This window comes from Homo sapiens, chromosome 11 (assembly GCF_000001405.40).
Source record: "Homo sapiens chromosome 11, GRCh38.p14 Primary Assembly".
NCBI lineage: Eukaryota > Metazoa > Chordata > Mammalia > Primates > Hominidae > Homo > Homo sapiens.
In genome coordinates, this window is record NC_000011.10 from 16,132,167 (window position 1) to 16,156,985 (window position 24,819).

The following is a 24,819-nucleotide window of genomic DNA, read 5'->3' on the forward strand; positions in this document are numbered from 1 at the left end:
GCCAGAATTCAAGCCTATATCTACAGCCTATAATTTCCAAAATTTTACAGCTGCTTCTCAAAAAAAAAGAAAGAAAGAAAGGAAGGAAGAAAGAAAGAAAGAAGGAAGGAAGGAAGGAAGGAAGGAAGGAAGGAAGGAAGGAAGGAAGGAAGGAAGGAAGGAAGGAAAGAAAAAAGAAAGAAAGAAAGAAAGAAAGAAAGAAAGAAAGAAAGAAAGAAAGAAAGAAAGAAAGAAAAAAGAAAGAAAGAAAGAAAGAAAGAAAGAAAGAAAGAAAGAAAAAAGAAAGAAAGAAAGAAAGAAAGAAAGAAAGAAAGAAAGAAAGAAAGAAAGAAAGAAAGAAAGCTTATCTTTGTATCTAGGAAGACATTGGCATGATAAAGGTTTTTCTTTCTCTTTTGTGGGTAAAGGTGGGTACTTATTAACATCATCTTTAGAAAAAGGGAAATTCTACTTTAGCGTTAAACAGAAAAGGGGTTCCATTGGGAAGTCTGGGCTCATTCTATATCCCTCTTGAGCTATCGGGTTACCTTTTTTTTTTTTTTTTGTTCCATTTACACTAACTTGTCACAATGACAGCCTTGTCCTACCTGTTTTTAGCTTTGAATGAAAAGCAATTTTATACCACAAGGACACACAAAATCCACCAAGTACTGCAAACCTGAGCAGCCTATTCCTTCATCTCACAAGCTGATCTCTCAGAATGGCATAACACTAGCATACAGATGAACAAAGCAAGAGTAGGCAGATTTCAATCCTTCTTTTATAGTTTTATTTCATTGAACAGTAAAAAGTATATTATTCATTCAGAGACAGTTGTGATATGGTAAAATAGGCCCTGGAATAAGAGAATTGATGTTAAAAGATCTAACTCAGACCCCAGTAACATAAAAAAAAATGGCCTAATTTTGGTTTTCTTATTAAAAGAGGGTATTGCAAAGAGAAAATGATGTAAAGTGCTTAGTACATAGTGGACATTATCCAGTGAATTTAAATGTAATTATTTCAAAATAGTTCAGTGCTCTCCTAAACAAATGGGGCACACCCCTTTTTGGAGAGTGTTTCAGAATCATGGTGTCTGTGGATATGTATTCTTCATGTTCTCCTTCTCTAGAGATTCATTATGCCCTGAAGGAAAGGGTGGCCCTACCCCACTGCTACAGTTGCTTTTCAAGGAATACATTTTGGGGTGGTAGGTGTATGTGACTTGAGAATCATCAAACCATGTTTGTGAGTGTAGGTAGGAGAAAAAACTCTGAGGAACAGAGCTGGGTCTATGCTATCCTATAAAGATTTTCCATAAGAGCACTGATTAGAGAAGAATCTCTCAAGACAAAAATACCAATATTTTCACTAAAATATCTAAGGGAGGGTAACAGGAAAGGTTCTGAATTATCTTATGAGGCACAAAAATAAAAGGGAGAGACCAAAGACCTAAGGACAGATACTAATCTAATTTGAGACTTATGACATTACAACATTATCATATTATTATACAGGTTTTGTTTTGTTTTGTTTTGTTTTGTTTTGTTTTGTTTGTTTTGAGACGGAGTCTCGCTCTGTTGCCCAGGCTGGAGTGCAATGGTGTGATCTTGGCTCATTGCAACCTCTGCCTCCCAGGTTCAAGCGATTCTCCTGCCTCAGCCTCATGAGTAGCTGGGATGACAGGCGCCCTCCACCATGCCCAGCTAATTTTTGCATTTAGTAGAGACAGGGTTTCACCATGTTGGTCAGGCTGGTCCCGAACTCCTGACCTCATGATCTGCCTGCCTTGGACTCCCAAAGTGCTGGAATTACAGGCGTGAGCCACCACGCCCAACTATTATACAGTTTTAAGCCACTATGGTAATTACATTGGTGATGATAATAATGATTATAGTAATAAAGGCTACACTGATATAGTATTGGCAATGTGCCAGGCACTTTTTTAAGTGCTTTACATGCATTAACACATTTAATTCTCAAAACATCTTCATGAGGTAAATACTGTTATTTTCCCCATTTTACAGATGAGGCACAGAAAAGCTTAATAGCTTGCCTCAAGATCAGGCAGCTATTAAGGGGATGGTCCAGGATTTGAATCCAGGCAGTCTGCCTCCAGAATCCTACTTTTAACCATTGTTCCATATTGCCTAATGATGCTGAGATTTTCAAGACTGGGGCCCTGGGCCACGTTGTAGGAGTGAGAGTAGTGAGGAAAGGGGAAATGAGAGGGAAGTAAGGAAAGCCTTGAAAACTTCTTGAAGAAGGTGTGTATAGTTTGAATTAGTATGTACAGGTATACCTCATGTTATTGTTCTTTGCTTTATTGCACTTCACAGGTAATGTGTTTTTACAAATTGAAGGTTTGTGGCAACCCTGGTCAAGCAAGCCTACCAATGTCATTTTTCCAACAGTATGTGCTCACTTTGTTTCTTTGTGTTACCTTTTGGTAATTCTCGCAATATTTCCAATTCTTTCTTATTATTATATCTGTTGTAGTGATCTGTGATCAGTGATCTTTGTTGTTACTATTGTAGTTGTTTTGGGACACCATAAACCACACCAGTGCAAGAGAGTAAATATTGCATGCGTTCAGGCTGCACCACTGACCAGCTGTTCCCCTGTCTCTCTCCCTTTCCTTAGGCTTCCCTATTCCCTGAGACAACAATATTGAAATTAGGCCAATTAATAACTCTACAATGGCCTCTAAGTGTTCAAGTGAAAGGAAGAGTCACACATCTAGAACTTTCACCACTAGAGAGAAGAAGTCAATGCCTGGCTTCAACACTTCAAAGGACAGGCTGACTCTCTTGGGAGGGGCTAATGCAGCTAGTGACTTTAAGTTGAAGCCAATGCTCATTTACCATTCTGAAAATCCTAGGGTCCATAAGAATTATCTTAAATTTACCTTGCCTGTGCTCTATAAGTGGAAGAACAAAGCCTGGATGAAAACATATCTGTTTACAGCATGGTTTACTGAATATTTAAGCCTACTGTTGAGACCTACTGCTCAGAAAAAAAAAGATTCCTTTCAAAATATTACTGCTCATTAACAATGCAGATCACCCAAGAACTCTGATGGAGATACACATGGAGATTAATGTTGTTTTCATGCCTGCTAACCCAACACTCATTTTGCAGTCCATGGATCAAGGAATAATTTCAACTTTCATAACATTACTTCAGAAATATATTTCATAAGGCTATAGCTTTCATACATAATGATTCCTCAGACAAATCTAGGCAAAATAAATTGAAAACCTTCTGGATTTGCCATTCTAGATGACATTAAAAACATCTGTGATTCTTGGGAGATCAAAATATCAACATGAACAGGAATTTGGAAGTTGATTCCAACCCTCATGGGATGATTTTGAGGGGTTCAAGACTTCAGCAGAGAAAATAGTTGCAGATATGGTGGAAACAGTAAGAGAACTAGAATTAGAAGTGGAGCCTGAAGATGTGACTGAATTATTTCAGTCTTATAATAAAACCTTAATGGATGTGAAGTTGCGCCTTATAGGTGAGCAAAGAAGCTGATTTCTTGAGAGATAATCTACTGAGTGAAAATGGTATGAACATTGTTGAAATAACCACACAAGGTTTAGAATATTACATAAACTTAGTTGATAAAGCATGTAAGGCTTTGAGAGGATTGAAAGATGTTCTACTGTGGGTAAAACGTTATCAAATAGCATTACATGCTGCAGAGAAATCTTTCGTGAAAGAGTCAATTGATGCAGCACTTTCATGGTTGTCTTATTTTTAGAAACTGCTACAGCTACCCAATCTTTAACAACCACCACCCTGACCAGCCAGCAGCCAAGACCCTCCACCAGTAAAAAAGATTATGACTTGCTGAAGGCTCAAATGATCATTAGCATTTTTTTTTGAGGTAGAGACTTGCTGTGTCGCAAGGCTGCAGTGCAGTGGCACAATCTCAGCTCACTGCAACCTTCACCTCCCAGGTTCAAGAAATTCCCCTGCCTCAGCCTCCCAAGTAGCTGGGACTACAGTTGCGCACCAACACGCCCAGCTAATTTTTTTGTATTTTAGTAGAGACGGGGTTTCACCATGTTGGCCAGGATGGTCTCGATCTCCTGACCTCGTCATCCACCCGCCTCGGCCTCCCAAGATCATTAGCATTTTTTAGCAATATAGTATTTTTGGATTAAGGTATGTACATTGTGTGTGTGTGGTTTTTTTTTTTTTTTTTTTGACATAATGCAATTGCACACTTAATAGACCACAGTATAGTGTAACTTTTTTTTAAGAGACAAGGTCTCACTTCGTCACCCAGGCTGGAGTTCAGTGGTGGAATCATAGCTCACTGCCACCTCAAACTCCTAGGCTCAAGGTATCTTCATGTCTCAACCTCCCAAGTAGCTGGGAATATAAGCACATGCCTAATTTTTGAAAATTTTTTTGTAGAGATATGGTCACACCCAACTAATTTTTTAAAAAATTTATTGTAGAAATATAGTCTTGCCATCTTGCCCAGGCTGATCTCAAACTCCTAGGCTCAAGCAATCCTCCTGCCTCAGCCTCCTACAGTGCTGGAATTATCGGTGTAAGCCACCAAACCCAGCCAACATAACTTTTATATGCATTGGGAAACCAAAAAATTCATGCAACTCATTTTATTATGAAATCCACTTTATTGTGGTGGTCTGGAACAGAACCTGAAATGTCCCTGAGGTATGCCTACATAAGTATATAGTCTCTCCAGACCATAAACCAATTTTCATCAACATGTATTTGTGATTCTGGTTTTACTTTGCCTGTTGTAAGAAAAATGAAGCAGAGCATTCAGTATCATGTTACAAGTGATGAGCTTTGTGCTCTGACTTCTACACTGTCTAAGAAAAACTCACAAATACTTAAAATAAATAATATGTGCCTTGGAAGATAAAAATAATTTTTGTGTTGCAACATTAATCTAATCTGAACTTTCTGTAACATTAAAGAATTGTACAAAGTGTTTGTGTTTATCTAAAGAGCATGTGGGGGCCGGGAGCAGTGGCTCATGCCTGTAATCCTAGCACTTTGGGAGGCTGAGGTGGACAGACTGGCTGAGCTCAGGAGTTTGAAATCACCCTGGGCAACATGGTCTCTACTAAAATACAAAAAATTAGCTGGACATGGTGGCATGCGCCTGTAGTCTCAGCTACTCGGGATGCTGAGGCACAAGAATCGCTTGAGCCCAGGAGGCGGAGGTTGCAGTGAGCTGAGATCACACCACTGCACTCTAGCCTGGGCAACAGAGTAAGACTCTCTCTCCAATAAATAAATAAAATAAAATAAATAAATAAATAGCATGTGGGTTGTAAGAGAGTAAGACACACTGTATAATAAAAAGTCCATTGTTTAGATGTCAAAAGACGAGGCTGAGATAATGGTTCTTCTAGTATCTTACTTTTGAGCCAGTAGGTATCAATTTTCTCATCTATCAATGAGATAATAATATTTCTACTGCTTACCTTAAGGAATCAAGGTGAAAACTATCTAAAAGATATGGAAATTATCTGACAAAATGTCTGATATGGTTTGGCTGTGTCCCCACCCAAATCTCATCCTGAATTGTAGTTCCTATAATCCCTACGTGCCATGAGAGGGACCAGGTGGAGATAATTGAATGCTGGGGGCAGTTCCCCCCATCCTGTTCTGGTGATAGTGAGTTAGTTCTCAGGAGATCTGATGGTTTTATAAGGAGCTTCCCCCTTCGCTGGGCACTCATTCTCTCTCCTGCCACCCTGTGAAGATGTGCCTTCTGCCATGATTGTAAGTTTCCTAAGGCCTTCCCCAGCCATGCAAAACTGTGAGTCAATTAAAACTCTTTTCTTTATAAATTACCCAGTCTCAGGTATGTCTTCATAGCAGCATGAGAAGAGACTAATACAATTACACACTATGCAAATATATACATATTTCTTCACATTTACTATAGATACCTACCAGTAAACCAGGAATTTTTAAAATTTGGGGCTTTGCCATAGTTCTACATATAGAATTGCTTCTAGGAATAAAGAAGCTTAATGAATTACATATTTAATGTCTACATTCCAAAAAATAAGTGCTAGATAGTTCCATACTTAACTAATCTATACAACAACACTATTCAGTGGGGCATCATTTTGCCCCTTTACAGTCTAAATAAACAGTGCCTCATAAAGGTTAAGTCTAAAGAGTTTCTAAAAAGAGCCAGGATTCAAAAAATCAAGTGATTCTGATGCCTTCACTTTTGTTATAACTGTCCCAATATATCCTTTATAGCAATAAGATCCAATCCAGAATCATGTGTCATCATGCCTTCTTAGTATCCTCCAATCTGAAATACTCAGTTCTTCCCTGATCTTTATAACCTTAAAAATTTTTTTGTTGTTGTTTTTATTTTTTTATTTTTTTTATTTTATTATTATTATACTTTAAGTTTTAGGGTACATGTGCACAATGTGCAGGTTTATTACATATGTATACATGTGCCATGTTGGTGTGCTGCACCCATTAACTCGTCATTTAGCATTAGGTATATCTCCTAATGCTATCCCTCCCCCCTCCTCCCACCCCACAACAGTCCCCAGAGTGTGATGTTCCCCTTCCTGTGTCCATGTGTTCTCATTGTTCAATTCCCACCTATGAGTGAGAACATGCGGTGTTTGGTTTTTTGTCCTTGCGATAGTTTGCTGAGAATGATGGTTTCCAGTTTCATCCTTGTCCCTACAAAGGACATGAACTCATCATTTTTTATGGCTGCATAGTATTACACGGTGTATATGTGCCACATTTTCTTAATCCAGTCTATCATTTTTGGACATTTGGGTTGGTTTTGGAGATTTCAAGACAGTTATTTTGTAGACTGTACCTAAACTTTTTTCCTAATGTTTCCTTATGATTAGATTCAGGTAATACATTTTTGTCAGACATATCACCAGAAGCGATGCTGTGCTCTTCTCAATATATCCCATCAGGTAATATACATCAATTTATCCCATCACTGTTAATGTCGCCTGAGTAATATAGTATCTACCAGGTTTTTTCCACTATCGTGTTACACTTTTTTTCTACATTTTCCTAAGTACTGTGTGGGGAGATACTTTGAGACTATGTGAATGTATCGTTCTTTATCCAGCTCTCACCCAATAGTTTTAGCATCCCTTCATGTTTCTTGTCAGAATTCATTATTACTATGATGGTTGCCACGTGACTTTCTTTCTGTAATGTCTTGTATATTTATTAGTTGGCACATTAAGGAAGAGCTTTCTCTTCTCTTTTATTTTTTCATTTATTCATAAATACATCAGGTCAGTTCATGAATCCATGTTCTATTCAATAGGATAAATCCATTATTATCATTTTTGATGCCTAAATTGCACCATATATGGACACAGGTTACCCCTTCAAGCTGGATGCTTTATCCTTTTGTTATGCTCTTAAAATTCTTTAAGCACCTCCTCACTTTCTGGAATAATAAAATATTCCAGACTTATCTTGTATTTTCCCTTCCCCAGACCAGATTCAGAAGCACAGTTTTTAGAAGCCAAGATCTCGGTGTGATGTGTTGATATTACTATTGGAGTGTATTTTGCTTCTAAGCTGCCTCACAGAGCTAAGAAATATATTTAGATGTATTATACATATTCACACACATTTATACTTCTCTCTATATAGATATGGACATATATATATAAAACCACAAAGTCACTTTGATACTTCTAATTCCAATATAATACCACAGAGTTTATTCTTATTTTCCTTCATTTCATATTTGTAACTCTTTTCTAAAAGTAAAAAACCTGGCTCATATATTATATATATATATATATATATACATATAATATGACATACGGGAGATAGGAAAAATAAGTATATGTGTGTGTGTATATTTATATGTGTATATGCACACACACATACATGCACACATACATACATATGTATATTTATTTTCTCTCTATCTCTTACATATTACCAACCAATCTCCTCATCCTCCTGAGCCACTTCCCCACTTGACAACCTTCATCCAATAGGACCCAACTCTTGTTAAGCCACCACTATGAGAAGCCACTTTCCTAATAGGATCTTCAAACCCCACTGAGCTGCCACCCAACTCAGGAGCCTTCCACAATTGGTCCTGCTTAATGGCATTTCAACTGAATGAGAAAGGGAGGAGGAAAAGTGGAAGAAAAGCCCTAATATGTTTTATGTTCCTACTTCCTTTTAATTAGACACTACTGTTTCCTCCCTTTCATTTAACTGGGAGGCAGCATTATATTGTATAGTAGAAAGATCACAAGTTTTGAAGCCACAGAGACCTAAGTTTGATACCTGGCTCCAACTAATTAGATGATAACCTTAGCTTCCTCACTTGTCAAATGGTGATAAAATCCATATCATTGCATATTTATGAATATTAAAGAAAATGAACATAATGTGGTTCAGTGTCTGGCAGATAAGACCATAAATCGTAACTATTGTTAAATTGTTAAACTTTAAAGGTAAGCACAAAAATAAAGGCATGTACATGACTAATTAAACCTAAGTGTTGAGGACTATGAGGGTAAAATACCAGCAAAGACAACAGAATAATTCACATTTGCAATAGATCTTGACACCCAGGAACCTAGCTATTGGGCCTTCAGTGTTATGTTCTGCCATGAATAGTGGAGAAATGTGTAAGTAAAGTGGAAATAATATAACAAAAAGTGGGTTTCTTTTCAATTTAAGGATGATCAGAATAGGTGCATAATAACCAGAATAAAAAATATCTCTTAGCTGGGCACAGTGGCTCACACTTTGGGAGGCCAAGGCATGCAGACCACAAATCAGCTGGGTGTCATGGCAGGTGCCTGTAATCCCAGCTACATGGGAAGCTGAGACAGGAGAATCACTTGAACCTGGTGGGCAGGAGTTGCAGTGAGCCAAGATTGCACTGCTGCACTCTAGCCTAGGCAAGAGCAAGACTTCACCTCAAAAAAAAAAAAAAATCTCTTCATGCTCATGCTCAGTATATATGAGTGGTGAAATAGTAAAGGTCATCCTATGGTTCCAAGCAGCATTTGGATTTCTCCATTAGATTTCCATTTAAAAACACTATCATGAGGATGTAGTATTTCCAAGCGAAGAATGGAAGTGAAATGAGATTACAGGTATTCAGGTATCTGAGTGCCTAAAAAGGCGATGAGACAAGTTCCCAGCCCTGACTGCTTCATCTTTCCCAATAAAATATTAATAGAACCAACGGCAGTTCCAAGATGGCCAAATAGGAACAGCTCCAGTGTACAGCTCCCAGCATGAGCAACGCAGAAGACGGGTGATTTCTGCATTTCCAACTGAGGTACCAGGTTCATCTCACTGGGGCTTGTCGGACAGTGGGTGCAGGACACTGGGTGCAGCTCACCGAGCGTGAGCCAAAGCATGGCAAGGCATCACCTCACCCGAAAAGCGCAAGGGGTCAGGGAATTCCCTTTCCTAGCCAAGGGAAGCTATGACAGACAGCACCTGGAAAATCGGGTCACTCCCACCATTTTCCAATGGTCTTAGCAAACGGCACACCAGGAGATTATATTCGGCGCCTGGCTCAGAGGGTCCCACACCCACGGAACCTCACTAATTGCTAGCACAGCAGTCTGAGATCAAACTGCAAGATGGCAGTGAGGCTGGGGGAGGGGTGCCTGCCATTGCTGAGCCTTGAGTTGGTAAACAAAGTGGCCAGGAAGCTCGAACTGGGAGGAGCCCACTGCAGGTCAAGGAGGCCTGCCTGCCTCTGTAGACTCCACCTCTGGAGGCAGGGCAGAGCTGAACAAAAGGCAGCAGAAACCTCTGCAGACTTAAATGTCCCTGTCCGACAGCTTTGAAGAGAGTAGTGGTTCTCCCAGCATGGAGTTTGAGATCTGACAATGGACAGACTGCCTCCTCAAGTGGATCCCTGACCCCCGAGTAGCCTAACTGGGAGGCACCCCCAGTAGGGGCAGCCTGACACCTCACATGGCCAGGCACCCCTCTGAGACAAAGCTTCCAGAGGAACGATCAGGCAGCAACATTTGCTGTTCAGCTATATTTGTTGTTCTGCAGCCTCCACTGCTGATACCCAGGCAAATAGGGTCTGGAGTGGACCTCCAGCAAACTCCAACAGATCTGCAGCTGAGGGTCCTGACTGTTAGAAGGAAAACTAACAAACAGAAAGGACATCCACACTAAAACCCCATCTGTACCTCACCATCATCAAAGACCAAAGGTAGATAAAACCACAAAGATGGGGGAAAAACAGAGCAGAAAAGCTGAAAATTCTAAAAATCAGAGCACCTCTCCTGCTCCAAAGGAACACAGCTCCTCACCAGCAACAGAACAAAGCTGGACAGAGAATGACTTTGACGAGTTCAGAGAAAAAGGCTTCAGATGATCAAACTTCTCTGAGCTAAAGGAGGAAATTCGAACCCATCACAAAGAAGCTAAAAACCTTGAAAAAATATTAGACGAATGGCTAACTAGAATAACCAGTGTAGAGAAGTCCTTAAATGACCTGAGGGAGCTGAAACCATGGCATGAGAACTACGTGACGAATGCCCAAGCTTAAGTAGCCAATTCGATCAACGGGAATAAAGGGTATCAGTGATGGAAGATCAAATGAATGAAATGAAGGGAAAAGAGAAGTTTAGAGAAAAAAGAATAAAAAGAAATGAACAAAGCCACCAAGAAATATGGGACTATGTGAAAAGAGCAAATCTACGTCTGATTGGTATACCTGAAAGTGATGGGGAGAATGGAACCAAGTTGGAAAACACTCTGCAGGATATCATCCAGGAGAATATCCCCAACCTAGCAAGGCAGGCCAACATTCAAATTCAGGAAATACAGAGAACACCACAAAGATACTCCTCGAGAAGAGCAACTCCAAGACACATAATTGTCAGATTCACCGAAGTTAAAATGAAGGAAAAAATGTTAAGGGCAGCCAGAGAGAAAGGTCGGGTTACCCACAAAGGGAAACCCATCAGACTAACAGCGGATCTCTCAGCAGAAACTCTACAAGCCAGAATAGAGTGGGGGCCAATATTCAACATTCTTAAAGAAAAGAATTTTCAACCCAGAATTCCATATCCAGCCAAACTAAGCTTCATAAGTGAAGGAGAAATAAAATCCTTTACAGAGAAGCAAATGCTGAGAGATTTTGTCACCACCAGGCCTGCCCTAAAAGAGCTCCTGAAGGAAGCACTAAACATGGAAAGGAACAACTGGTACCAGCCACTGCAAAAACATGCCAAATTGTAAAGATCATCAAGGCTAGGAAGAAACTGCATCAACTAACGAGCAAAATAACCAGCTAACATCATAATGACAGGATCAAATTCACACATAAGAATATTAACCTTAAATGTAAATGGGCTAAAAGCTCCAATTAAAAGACACAGATTGGCAAATTGGATATAGAGTCAAGACCCATCAGCGTGCTGTATTCAGGAGACCCATTTCACGTGCAGAGACACACATAGGCTCAAAATAAAGGGATGGAGGAAGATCTACCAAGCAAATGGAAAACAAAAAAAGGCAGGGGTTGCAATCCTAGTCTCTGATAAAACAGACTTTAAACCAACAAAGATCAAAAGAGACAAAGAAGGCCATTACATAATGGTAAAGGGAATAATTCAACACGAAGAGCTAAGTATCCTAAATACATATGCACCCAATACAGGAGCACCCAGATTCATAAAGCAAGTCCTTAGAGACCTACAAAGAGACTTAGACTCCCACACAATAATAATGGGAAACTTTAACACCCCACTGTCAACATTAGACAGACCAATGAGACAGAAAGTTAACAAGGATATCCAGGAATTGAACTCAGCTCTGCACCAGGCGGACCTAATAGACATATACAGAACTCTCCACCCCAAATCAACAGAATAATATTCTTCTCAGCACCACACCACACTTATTCCACAATTGACCACATAGTTGGAAGTAAAGCACTCCGCAGCAAATGTAAAAGAACAGAAATTATAATAAACTGTCTCTCAGACCACAGTGCAATCAAACTAGAACTCAAGATTAAGAAACTCACTCAAAACCACTCAACTACATGGAAACTGAACAACCTGCTCCTGAATGACTGCTGGGTACATAAGGAAATGAAGGCAGAAATAAAGATGTTCTTTGAAACCAATGAGAACAAAGACACAACATACCAGAATCTCTGGGACACATTTAAAGCAGTGTGTAGAGGGAAATTTATAGCACTAAATGCCCACAAGAGAAAGCAGGAAAGATCTAAAATGGACACCCTAACATCACAATTAAATGTGTTGGAAGCAAGAGCAAACACATTCAAAAGCTAGCAGAAGGCAAGAAATAACTAAGATCAGAGCAGAACTGAAAGAGATAGAGACACAAAAGACCCTTCAAAAAATCAATGAATCCAGCAGCTGGTTTTTTGAAAAGATCAACAAAATTGATAGAACGCTAGCAAGACTAATAAAGAAGAAAAGAGAGAAGAATCAAATAGACGCAATAAAAAATGATAAAGGGGATATCACCACCAATCCCACAGAAATACAAACTACCATCAGAGAATATTATCAACAACTCTATGCAAATAAACTAGAAAATCTAGAAGAAATGGATAAATTCCTCGACACATACACCCTCCCAAGACTAAACCCAGAAGAAGTTGAATCCCTGAATAGACCAATAACAGGCTCTGAAATTGAGGCAATAATTAATAGCCTACCAATCAAAAAAAGTCCAGGACCAGACGGATTCACAGCTGAATTCTACCAGAGGTACAAGGAGGAGCTGGTACCATTCCTTCTGAAATTATTCCAATCAATAGAAAAAGAGGGAATCCTCCCTAACTCATTTTATGAGGCCAGCATCATCCTGATACCAAAGCCTGGCAGAGACACAACAAAAAAAGAGAATTTTCGACCAATATCCCTGATGAACATCAATGCAAAAATCCTCAATAAAATACTGGCAAACCGAATCCATTAGCACATCAAAAACCTTATCCACCATGATCAAGTGGGCTTCACCCCTGGGATGCAAGGCTGGTTCAACATGCGCAAATCAATAAACGGAATCCAGCATATAAACAGAACCAAAGACAAAAACCACATGATTATCTCAATAGATGCAGAAAAGGCCTTTGACAAAATTCAACAGCCCTTCATGCTAAAAACTCTCAATAAATTAGGTATTGATGGGACATATCTCAAAATAATAAGAGCTATTTATGACAAACCCACAGCCAATATAATACTGAATGGGCAAAAACTGGAAGCATTCCCTTTGAAAACTGGCACAAGACAGGGATGCCCTCTCTCACCACTCCTATTCAACACAATGTTGGAAGTTCTGGCCAGGGCAATCAGGCAGGAGAAAGAAATAAAGGGTATTCAATTAGGAAAAGAGGAAGTCAAATTGTGTCTGTTTGTAGATGACCTGATTGTATATTTAGAAAACCCCATCGTCTCAGCCCAAAATCTCCTTAAGCTGATAAGCAACTTCAGCAAAGTCTCAGGATACAAAATCAATGTACAAAAATCACAAGCATTCTCATACACCAACAACAGACAAACAGAGAACCAAATCATGAGTGAACTCCCATTCACAATTGCTTCAAAGAGAATAAAATACCTAGGAATCCAACTTACAAGGGATGTGAAGGACCTCTTCAAGGAGAACTACAAATTACTGCTCAACAAAATAAAAGAGGACACAAACAAATGGAAGAACATTCCACGCTCATGGGTAGGAAGAATCAATATCGTGAAAATGGCCATACTGTCCAAGGTAATTTATAGATTCAATGCCACTCCCATCAAGCTACCAATGCCTTTCTTCACAGAATTGGAAAAAACTACTTTAAAGTTCATATGGAACCAAAAAAGAGCCCACATTGCCAAGTCAATCCTAAGCCAAAAGAACAAAGCTGGAGGCATCACGCTACCTGACTTCAAACTATACTACAAGGCTACAGTAACCAAAACAGCATGGTACCACTACCAAAACAGAGATATAGACCAATGGAACAGAACAGAGCCCTCAGAAATAATACCACACATCTACAACTATCTGATCTTTGACAAACCTGACAAAAACAAGAAATGGGGAAAGGATTCCCTATTTAATAAATGGTGCTGGGAAAACTGGCTAGCCATATGTAGAAAGCTGAAACTGGATCCCTTCCTTACACCTTATACAAAAATTAATTCAAAATGGATCAAAGACTTAAATGTTAGACCTAAAACCATAAAAACCCTAGAAGAAAACCTAGGCAATACCATTCAGGACATAGGCATGGGCAAGGACTTCATGGCTAAAACACCAAAAGCAATGGCAACAGAAGTCAAAATTGACAAATGGGATCTAATTAAACTAAAGAGCTTCTGCACAGCAAAAGAAACTATCATCAGAGTGAACAGGCAACCTACAGAATGGGAGAAAATTTTTGCAATCTACTTATCTGACAAAGGGCTAATATCCAGAATCTACAAAGAACTCAAACAAATTTACAAGAAAAAAACAAACAACCCCATCAAAAAGTGGGCAAAGGATATGAACAGACACTTCTCAAAAGAAGACTTTTATGCAGCCAACAGACACATGAAAAAATGCTCATCATCACTGGCCATCAGAGAAATGCAAATCAAAGCCACAGTGAGATACCATCTCACACCAGTTAGAACGGTGATCATTAAAAAGTCAGGAAACAACAGGTGCTAGAGAGGATGTGGAGAAATAGGAAAGCTTTTACACTGTTGGTGGGACTGTAAACTAGTTCGACCATTGTGGAAGACAGTGCGGCGATTCCTCAAGGATCCAGAACTAGAAATACCATTTGACCCAGCCATCCCATTACTGGGTATATACCCAAAGGATTATAAATCATGCTGCTATAAAGACACATGCACACGTATGTTCATTGTGGCACTATTCACAATAGCAAAGACTTGGAACCAACCCAAATGTCCAACAATCATAGACTGGATTAAGAAAATGTGGCACATATACAGCATGGAATACTATGCAGCCATAAAAAAGGATGAATTCATGTCCTTTGAGGGACATGGATGAAGCTGGAAACTATCACTCTCAGCAAACTATCGCAAGGACAACAAACCAAACACTGCATGTTCTCACTCATAGGTGGGAATTGAACAATGAGAACACTTGGACACAGGAAGGGGAACATCACACACTGGGGCCTGTTGTGGGGTGGGGGAGGAGGGAAGGATAGCATTAGGAGATATACCTAATGCTAAATGACGAGTTAATGGGTGCGGCACACCAACATGGCACATGTATACATATGTAACAAACCTGCACGTTGTGCACATGTACCCTAGAACTTAAAGTATAATAATAAAAAAAAATAAAAGAGTCCATAAGAAGTTCTTTCACAAAATGTTTCCTTAAAGGGAAAAGGATGGTGGAGTTTGAAATAGTTAAGCATAGCACTATCATTTTTGCTTTTTATGTCACTTCCTTCCCCATGTCCTGCTTAATCCTTTCTCCCCAAATGCAAACTTAAATGAACACCGAAATTTCCTTTTTATTGTACTTCTCACATTTCTTATCTCTTCCCATCCACATGGAATAAAAATAACTTTGTTTACTTCAGCACCCTGAAGAGCACAGCCAGTTTACTACTCTGATGTTCCAGGTCAGATTTAAATCTTCTAGTTACTCTCCTCTTCCTAAATTCTGTTATTCAGTGTGAAATTTAAAACTTACTAATGACTGTACACCAGAAATACAGCCTGGCATGAAGATGTGAATTACCATGAACCTCTTGGTCTTTCACACACCTTTCAAAGGAGATTAACCATTGCTTCATAACTACTTTGTCAAAGCATCTTTTTATACATACACCAAATGCTAGTTAACAAACTATAAAAAACAAGCGATCTGTAATAATTTTTATAGCCATTGAAATGTAGTTGTGTACCATTGCCTGAGCCTGCCTTTTAGCTGATTAACAAATACAGTGAATTTAACTTTGTAGATTCTTAACATTTAAAGACAACAGTCTAAGGCAATTTAAAGTATATTCTGCCAATCAGTTGTTGAGTTAGACCACCCATAGCCTTTTTTTATTCTTCATTGTTTGAATAATATGGGAGGAAATTTAGTGTATACTCTCTTCTTCCTGTATTTTCCAGTTAGATTAAGCTGTTGTCTTCACAATTGCCTCCCAGCTGCTGTGACTTGTGAAAACAACAGACCCTGCTCTGTTGTCTGGAGAAAGCCGGGATTGTTATGAGTAACTTTATTGCAGGCACATGAGTGTGTTAAGACTTTAAAACACGCTCAAATGTCATGTGCACACCCAATGACGGGCAAGAATAATTATGAAAAAACAAGAAATCTATGTCTATGAAACCGTGTTGGACAAAATGGGCCATTCATTGTGTTCCCCTGGGAATGCCTGGACTCTGCAGTCAGAAAACAAAAAAGGCACTTTTTTCCTGCCGTAGGCTGAATGCTTAGCTTTGCCATCTGAGCCCTAAGAAAACATGGGCCCCTCTACTGCTGGCGCACCCACGCACACTAAAAAATATTAATGCCTCTCTCTCCTTACTTTTTTCCAGGCATTCCCTCGTGTAGGCTGTAGCCAATATAATGTCAACACAAAGACAAAATAGTTTATCTAACATCAGTCCCCCACAATTTCCCTCTTGTCCTCAATTAATTGCCCTTCCCCCAACATTAAGAAGAAAAAAAAAGATAACCTTTACTCCAGTGGAAAACTTGTTTCTGGCACAGATTTTAACTGCAGCAATAATCCCTTCTGTACTTTTACATAGTTTTACCAAATACTATGTAAGCATACTCATTTGTCTCCACGTTGTTTCTTCTTCCTTCAAGACTTCTGAAAGTCATTTTGTTGGTTAAAGTTTGTCAGCTCCCTCTCAAAAATGCCCCTTCTCAAAGTTAACTACCACGTGTCCTTCTTGTCAATGTGTGCAAGTATACTACACAAATGGAATGACAAATGAAACTCCAAATCATTTCAGCCCAAACACATTTTTTAATATACAAATTACACTGAAAGTTCAAGGTTTCTAAGCTTTATTGCAATTTTCAAGGGCAGTTATTTTATGTTAAACCATAGGTAAGTTATTTGCTGATTTTCCTAGAGAGATATATTGCACTTTGACGGCCTACTGTAGGCTCTACAGTAATTTCCTTGGCAGCTGAACCAGCAGAAAAAAAAATATGCAATAAACAGATTTCCAAAACAGTAAGCTTTTGCCCAGGATCTTTAATCTTGACCCTTTTCAGTACATTCCAGGAAGAAAACACAGGGAGAATATGTGCTTCATTATAAAGTAGGGAAATAGGAGTCTGATAGGTCATTAAAGACCATAAATTCCTATTTCATCTTCCTTTCCAGAGCTCAGTTCATTGCACTTTTATTCCCGTCCAGCAACCACAGACTTCAGAACCTGCTAGGGACAAAACTGGAAAAGGGAAAACACTTCTTTGGTTGTTTTTTGAAAAATTAGCTATAGAATACTTATGTCAATTCCTTTGACTAGAATAAGGATTTTAAAACTCATCAAGTTTAAATATGTTCTTCATCTTTAGCTAATGAGCAAGTGACTTAGAAAGGCAACAGCTGGAGAAGTGAGATACAAATTTTGTCTGACAATAAAATGTGGTTATCTTTTATTTAGCTAACTGGTGTTAATGACCCAGTAGCAGCCAATGCCAAAAAGAGGCAATTGTGGGTACATGTACACATACCAGCAGAAACCAGGATCTTTTAGTCAACCAACTGGTTGTTTTGACTACACCACTCCCAAAGCAATTGATTTGACTGAATTAAACAATTGGGTTTGAATCTATGATTAAATTAGGGAGTTTGGAAGCATTTTAGAGATTGAGATTATCTAGTTACTTAATTCTAGGCCAGTTCATTCATTCTGTAACATAAGTATATTGAGGCTAGAGATACGGAGACAAAGATAACTCAAGTAGTGTCAAAATCAGTGTGTGGATGCTGTCAGAGACATAAAATAACAATATTGATTACAGAAGTGAGTTAGAGGTGGCATTAATTACATAGGTAAAAAAGGTTACATTTCTCTAAGTTGGGAAGAACTACTTTTATAAGTAACCACTATTCAGAAGGAGACAAATCTTCCAGGCCAAAATGTAAACCCAGAGTTCTTTTCAAACATTTTAGCACAAATAGAAATGGCCCTGGACAAGCTAGCAGAGCCCACATGAGACTACTTCACAGAAGCCACTTTGGGATGGGACGGTCATGAATAACACTTCTACATCTTTCTCTCAAACATGGAGTTGATTTCAGGAAGTTTTCTTGTCCATGCAGCCTAAACAAGATTTCTTCCCTCCCCTGGATCCTAAAACCTATAAACAAATGAAACTCACACTGAAGGAATATTGAGCAAGGAGTCTAGAACTAGTTCTGTCTCTCGGGCTGAAAGATGATGTACTTACAACATAGCCAGCCATCAGACCAGCCACAGATTTGTTTTAACAATTCAACAACATCACCATTCCTCATTCACCCACTTAGCTTAATTTTCCTAGCATCACTTTCACTGCTGAGGTTGTCTCTATTAAGCCATTTTTTTGCATCATTAACTTTTAACCAGGCATCGATAGCTTTATTGTTTAAATTGTGTATGACTTTATTTAACGTCAGCATTTCTTCTAGCTCCTGACAAGAAGTCACATTCTATAACTAATTAAATTGATCCCTGGGAAGCAAAAGCCACTAAATGAAATTATTCGTACCCAAGTGTCAATATATTAAATCAAAGGGCTAATGAGTTGGGTCACTGCTTCTTTTATTGGGAGGCTACAGCAGAATAAGACTCATATTATCCTCTATTTTCTGCTTTAACAATCAATTTTATTTAAACCAAAGGCAGCCAATTAATACTTTTGGATTTTACAGTAAATAATACCTCTTTTATAACATACAAATGGGAAATGGAAAATTTTCTTTGACATATGCAATATATTTTTCACATTTTTTTAATGACATTGGGTCACAGAAACATCTAAGATGATTTAAAAGGTGTTTTGCAAGCAAACGATTTTGAGAAGTTCTAGGTTTCAAGTATTAGCATTACGGGTGTAAATCAGGATGAAAATTTGCCTCTCAGAGCTGACAATAGTGCGTAACGAAAGTGATTAAGAAATGACTGAATTTGTCATGTCAGCTTTTCCGATCGCTCTTGCAGCTGCTGAGTAATACTTTGAATTCACTATTTACATTTGGACACTATTAAAATTCATCACCTAATAGTTCATACCATTCACTGTCTTTGACATAACTTAGCTTCTTTTGACACAATCCCTGCAGACACCATTTTTCTGTTGCTGTTAATTTCATCAACCCAATTCATCCACAGAGAAAATTTCATGTCAAATTATTTGTTCCTGTAAATTTTACATTTTGTTTGGGAGAGTTTCACCCCATAATTTATTGCTTCAGTATTTGGGAAAGAAAAAATCCTCATAAAATCAGATATGGAATCTCTTACATCTGCAAAAACACAAACAATATGGTCTATAAATCATGACTATAGTAAAATTACATTAAAAACTATGGCAAGCTGAAAAATTCAGTTCTATAAAATTAGGCCCAGTGGCAGTTATCTCCTGACAGTGAGGAAACCACCTCTAGGAAACACTGTACTAAAGTAAAACTTAAAATGAAGGTACAAAGAACACATACATAACCAACTGCAACTGCTAAATAACAAATTCAAGCAATGCCTTAATTTTGGTATGAGAACTTTATTTTGTATATCTGGCAATTAGTCAAAATAACAACAGTTAAAGACAGCCTTGAAATACTTTGGGTTGAATTAATATTATTTATGACATAATAAGTTGTCTAAAGTCAATTTTTGTCTCTAATACTTAACTTTGTTGATTTACCACCAGGATCAAATACATCATAGGGAACACCACAGATGTTTTTGACAAAAACATGTTCTTTCACCCACACAGTTTGCTTTTTCAAACATTGAATTAGGGTTTCTTTCTTTGTAGACACAGTGGTTCTTTTTTAAAACAACCTTAAATAGTCACTTTTATCCATTTATAGATGTGTATGCTTTGGAGGTCAAGCATATGCTGTTGTTTCTCACCACAAATGTTTTCCTTCATTTTCAATGGTCAAAAGTCACAGGCGTGTTTGACCCCACCCACAGACAGCTCTGTTCAGTATCTGGAGAACCCAAATCTGGCTGGAGATCACTGAAACCCAGATGCTCACTTCACAAACAAATATAAAGGTATCCCAAAACAGACCAATGGAATTTGACACTGGACTATCAATAAGTTACAAAAACAAAACAAAATACAAATTACTATTTTCTCTGGAATGTATGTATAATTAAAGCCAGAGAACACCCTTTACCATTAATACAGGCTACTGATCTGAACTACCATGCCAAGATGGTCTTGATAAACACATTCTGTTATATAATAGTGACTGAATTAACTAACAGATATTACATTTCCCTCTACTTCCTAGCTTCATGTTTTTAGACACACACACAGAGAGACTCACATACATTCTCAAAAATAGCTTTGATATCTCAAAGATATCAGAAATGATATATTAGAATTACTTTTTTTTTTTTTTGAGACAGGGTCTCACTCTATCGCCCAGGCGATTCTCATGCCTCAGCCTCCCGAGTAGCTGGGATTACAGGTGTGTGCCACCAAGCCCTAATTTTTTGTTTGTTTGTTTGAAATGGAGTCTTGTTCTGTTGCCAGGCTTGAGTGCAGTGGCGCTATCTCGGCTCACAGCAACCTCCACCTCCCAGGTTCAAGAGATTCTCCTGCCTCAGCCTCCCCAGTAGCTGGGACTATAGGTGTGTGCCATCACATCTAGCTAATTTTTGAATTTTTAGTAGAGACAAGGTTTCACCATGTTGGCCAGGGTGGTATCTATCTCTTAACCTTGTGATCCACCCACCTCAGCCTCCCAAAGTGCTGGGATTACAGGCATGAGCCACCATGCCCAGACAATTTTTTGTATTTTGTATTTTTTAGTAGAGATGGGGTTTACCATGTTGGCCAGGCTGGTCTCAAACTCCTAACCTCAAGTGATCCACCCATCTCAGCCTCCAAAAGTGTTGGGATTACAGGCAGGAGTCACTGCACCTGGCCTAGAGTTACTTTTTTAAGGAAAAAAAGTCACAGCCTTGGGAAAGGGAAAAAATTTGTGAACTGATAGTTGTCCCAAATTTGTTTGGCGATATGTCATCCTACAAAGCAGTATTGCACAGGGATATGTAGAGTAAGTTTTACTAAGCCTATCAAAAACAGGGTTAACTACCTCTGATAGGACTGGTTAGACAAATAAATAAAAGATCTCTTCCAGTTACCTCCTAAAATACAATAAAAACCCATACCACTCACTAAGCACAATATGAGCAACTGAACACATAAGACTGAAACCCACTGGGGTCCAACAGACTCAACCTATCTCTTTGTGTCTCAGAGTATAATTGGCAGTAATGACCATCGAACTCTGGTCTCCCTGCCCAAAACCATGCTTACAACTTCCAGTTGCCACTTCTGCCGAAATGCCCACAGAAGTGAATAGACTAGTGAGACAGATATGTGATCTCAAACTCAAGTTTTCCAGCTTACACACTATTGATAAAATACTGAGGAAAATCTAAGCATTTTTAAAAGTCAAAAATAAAAAAAAAATCCAAATTGAGATATAATGAAGTTTAACTTCTTTTCTCTGGAGAGTACCACACAATCTTATTAATTAATCCTAAACCAAGCATAATTCTAAGTTCTACTTTTCTGAAAACAAAACCCATGGCTTTGGGTAATGCTGCCTGATAATAAAAAGGAATATAAAAGTGAAGTAAGATGGCAATTTATTCCTCCCAGCTCAAATCACATTCCTGTCTTCATTACAGTGGCTGGATACCACCAAAAGCTTTATTACCTGTTTCCTATGTTTTGACGTTGGACAAATGCAAGTCATAGCAAAGATAGCCTGAGGCCAACAATGAAGATACCTTACATATCTTAATATTATCAAGGAACTATGCCGTAATCAGGATCCTAACTAGAGTTTGTAAATACATGAAAAAAAAGTAAGAAGCACAATTGGACAGTGTAAAGGGAAAAATAAATGGAGGAAACATTTGCTAACAATCATTACAATAGAATAATAACCCCCCTAATTAACATGCTGCGACAAATTACAGAAATCTATTTTTTATGTAATTTTTCCTTTACGCCACTTATCCCTGTGCAGTATTCTTTTTACCATATTAAAACTCCTTATTTTAAATTGTATGGAACCTACAGAAATCAGCTATTGATGCTTCTTTCTGCTCTATTGTGCTCCCATTTTGCCTTTTAAGTGACTCCTCTTCAACCCTCAGCCAGATCTTTTCTAATCACCTGTCTCCGAATTAAATTAAGTACAGTGGTCTTCTGAATCATTCAACCAGTCTAACTGATTTTTTAAAGCCGTTTAATATTTGCTTACAAAAAAAAATGCAACTTTTTGTCTTTACATAAAGACAAAATAAGAATTATTGTAATATACACATCAAAGTTTCCTGTTTCTATTTCCCCAAGTATAACTTTGTACAAACAACCACAGACTAGCACACAGGCATCTATCTACCTTGATAAATTTGCACCTTGAGTTTGTAACCAGGCATTTCCTGGGCAACCAGTCCTTCAGGGAGTGTTCAAATATTTGTAGTGGGGCAGTTTGGGCTGCACATATTTTAGTTCTTATTCATGCATTCCTCATTTACAAGTCGTGAACCTGGTAAATTTCCGGTTTTAAGACTATCGCTCCTTCTTTTCTGTAGGTGGTCCTTGAACTACCCTCTTTGCTTAACTGTGGAGTGTGGGTCAGACTGATTGTCAGAAAAAAAAAAAAAGTTTTCTTTTTCTTTAGAAATTATTTCCCAGGCCACTCTATCTCTATGTTCAAATTCCCAACTTGGCAAATGAGTCTACAGGTTTTTCAATCAAAACCTCTGCTCTGAAAGATACATCACATAGTGGTTAGGATCCAGGGCTCTAGATTCTCATAGAAAGAGAGGCAGCAGAGTGTAGTGGTTAAGAGCACACATCCTAGAGCCAGACTAAGTCTGAATTCGAGGTCTTCCACTTATTAACTGTATGACCTTGGACAAATTATTTAACCTCTCCATGCTTCACTTTTGTGATCTATAAAAGGGAATAATATTACCTACCTCAATGGGCTATTGTAAGAATTCAATGGATTGAGGTATCTAGAGCCTTAGAATAGTGTCTAACATACAGTAAACACTATATAAGTGTTTTCTGTTAATTAGATTAGAATCTTGGCTAGGCTACTTATTGTGATGCCTTGGGCAAGTTGTTTAACCTCTGTTAAGCCTCCATTTTCTCAGTGGCAAACAGTATTATTGTGTCAATTGAGTAATATAATACATAAGGCATGTATTACAGTATCTAGTACATAGTGAATCATTAGCTATTATGTTAACACATACTTAGTGGCAGTCTAGTGTATCTTCCTCTTCCACAACATGCTTTTATTAAAGGTGAACTAGTTCCAAAGTCTCTATTGCTTTCCCATGCCATCAAATCTACAATCTTTGTTCTAACCAAAGTTTCCAAATTTATTTCCCTTATTCACTAATAAAAACTCTACCATAGGACATCTTTTCATAGGCTATACACTCCAAGCTCGTTATCACATCTTCACTTTAATATTTACTCTCATATTGCCCTTCCCTTCTCCCTGAATATCCAAATCCCATCCAGTCTTTAAGACCAAAGTTCCAGAAAGTTCTTTAAAATTATCCCAATCTTGTATGCTTTTTGTTTCTCTGAGTTCAGTGTGTAAAGGGGACAGTTCCAGTGATTTAGATTGATGTCCTATCTCTCTCACTATGAAACTGTGTGGCCTAGAGCATGTCACTTTGCCTTCTGGTCACAGTTCCCTCAAATACAAAATGATTGGGTTTAAATAGATGATTTCTAAGAGCCCTATCACCACATCATTCTGAGACCTATTGCACTCATATTCACAGTGCAATGCTTATTATAGATGCTTAATAAATATCTCATGCTTGAACCTTCCAGAGCTGAACATATATGGATCAGTCTGTGGGTCCCTTTGCTACTGCCTCTCCTTCTTAATCTCCATCACATGTTCCCATTTCTCTATTACTCCACCCTTTAAATGTTAGTATTTCCGAAAATTCTGCTCTCTACCCTCTTCTCACTCTCATATTTCTAGGCAAACTCATTATTATCCACCTGATAATGATTCCTAAATCTGTATTTCTAACCCAGACTCCATTTCCAAGTTTCAAACTTATATATCCAACATCTGGTAGGTATATCTACCTGAATAATTCAGCATGTCAAAAATAAAACCCTTCTTCTCACCCAGTCCTCCAAACCTGATCATCATCCTGTATTTACATGATCTGTCCACCAATACATCTCTGACTTCACCACATACCACTTCCCCTTGCTCTTTCTACTCCATCTTTACTGGCCTCCTGGCTACACCTAAAACATGCCAAGCACACTCCCACTTCACATACTTTGTAATTCTGTTCCTTCTCCCTGGAATACTTTTTTTTACCCTAATATCCATGTCTCCTGCATTCAATTTATTCAAATCATTTACTCAAAAGGAGGCCTCTCTGAGCTCTATAAATGTGTAACTATCATCACTCTATATTCTTACTTATCCTTAACCTATTTTTCTTCATAGAATTTATCACTACATGATATTTATCTATTTGTTTACAGTCTCTATCTTCCCAAACTTTGTCCATTTTGTTCCTTAGTGTATTA

At 38.3% G+C, this 24,819-nt stretch overlaps 1 protein-coding gene across 6 annotated transcripts in view, besides 1 other annotated feature; it reads right to left on the minus strand.

Annotated features, from left to right (window-relative positions):
- SOX6 (SRY-box transcription factor 6) overlaps window positions 1-24,819 on the minus strand; it is a 772,029-nt gene that overhangs the window by 165,718 nt on the left and 581,492 nt on the right. The window lies entirely within an intron of this gene.
- Window positions 15,464-15,664: a silencer, noted in NCBI's record as "peak1214 fragment used in MPRA reporter construct". NCBI's record gives its function as "represses an SCP1 promoter by STARR-seq MPRAs in K562 erythroleukemia cells {active_cell/tissue: K562}" and the evidence as "EXISTENCE:reporter gene assay evidence [ECO:0000049][PMID:32103011]".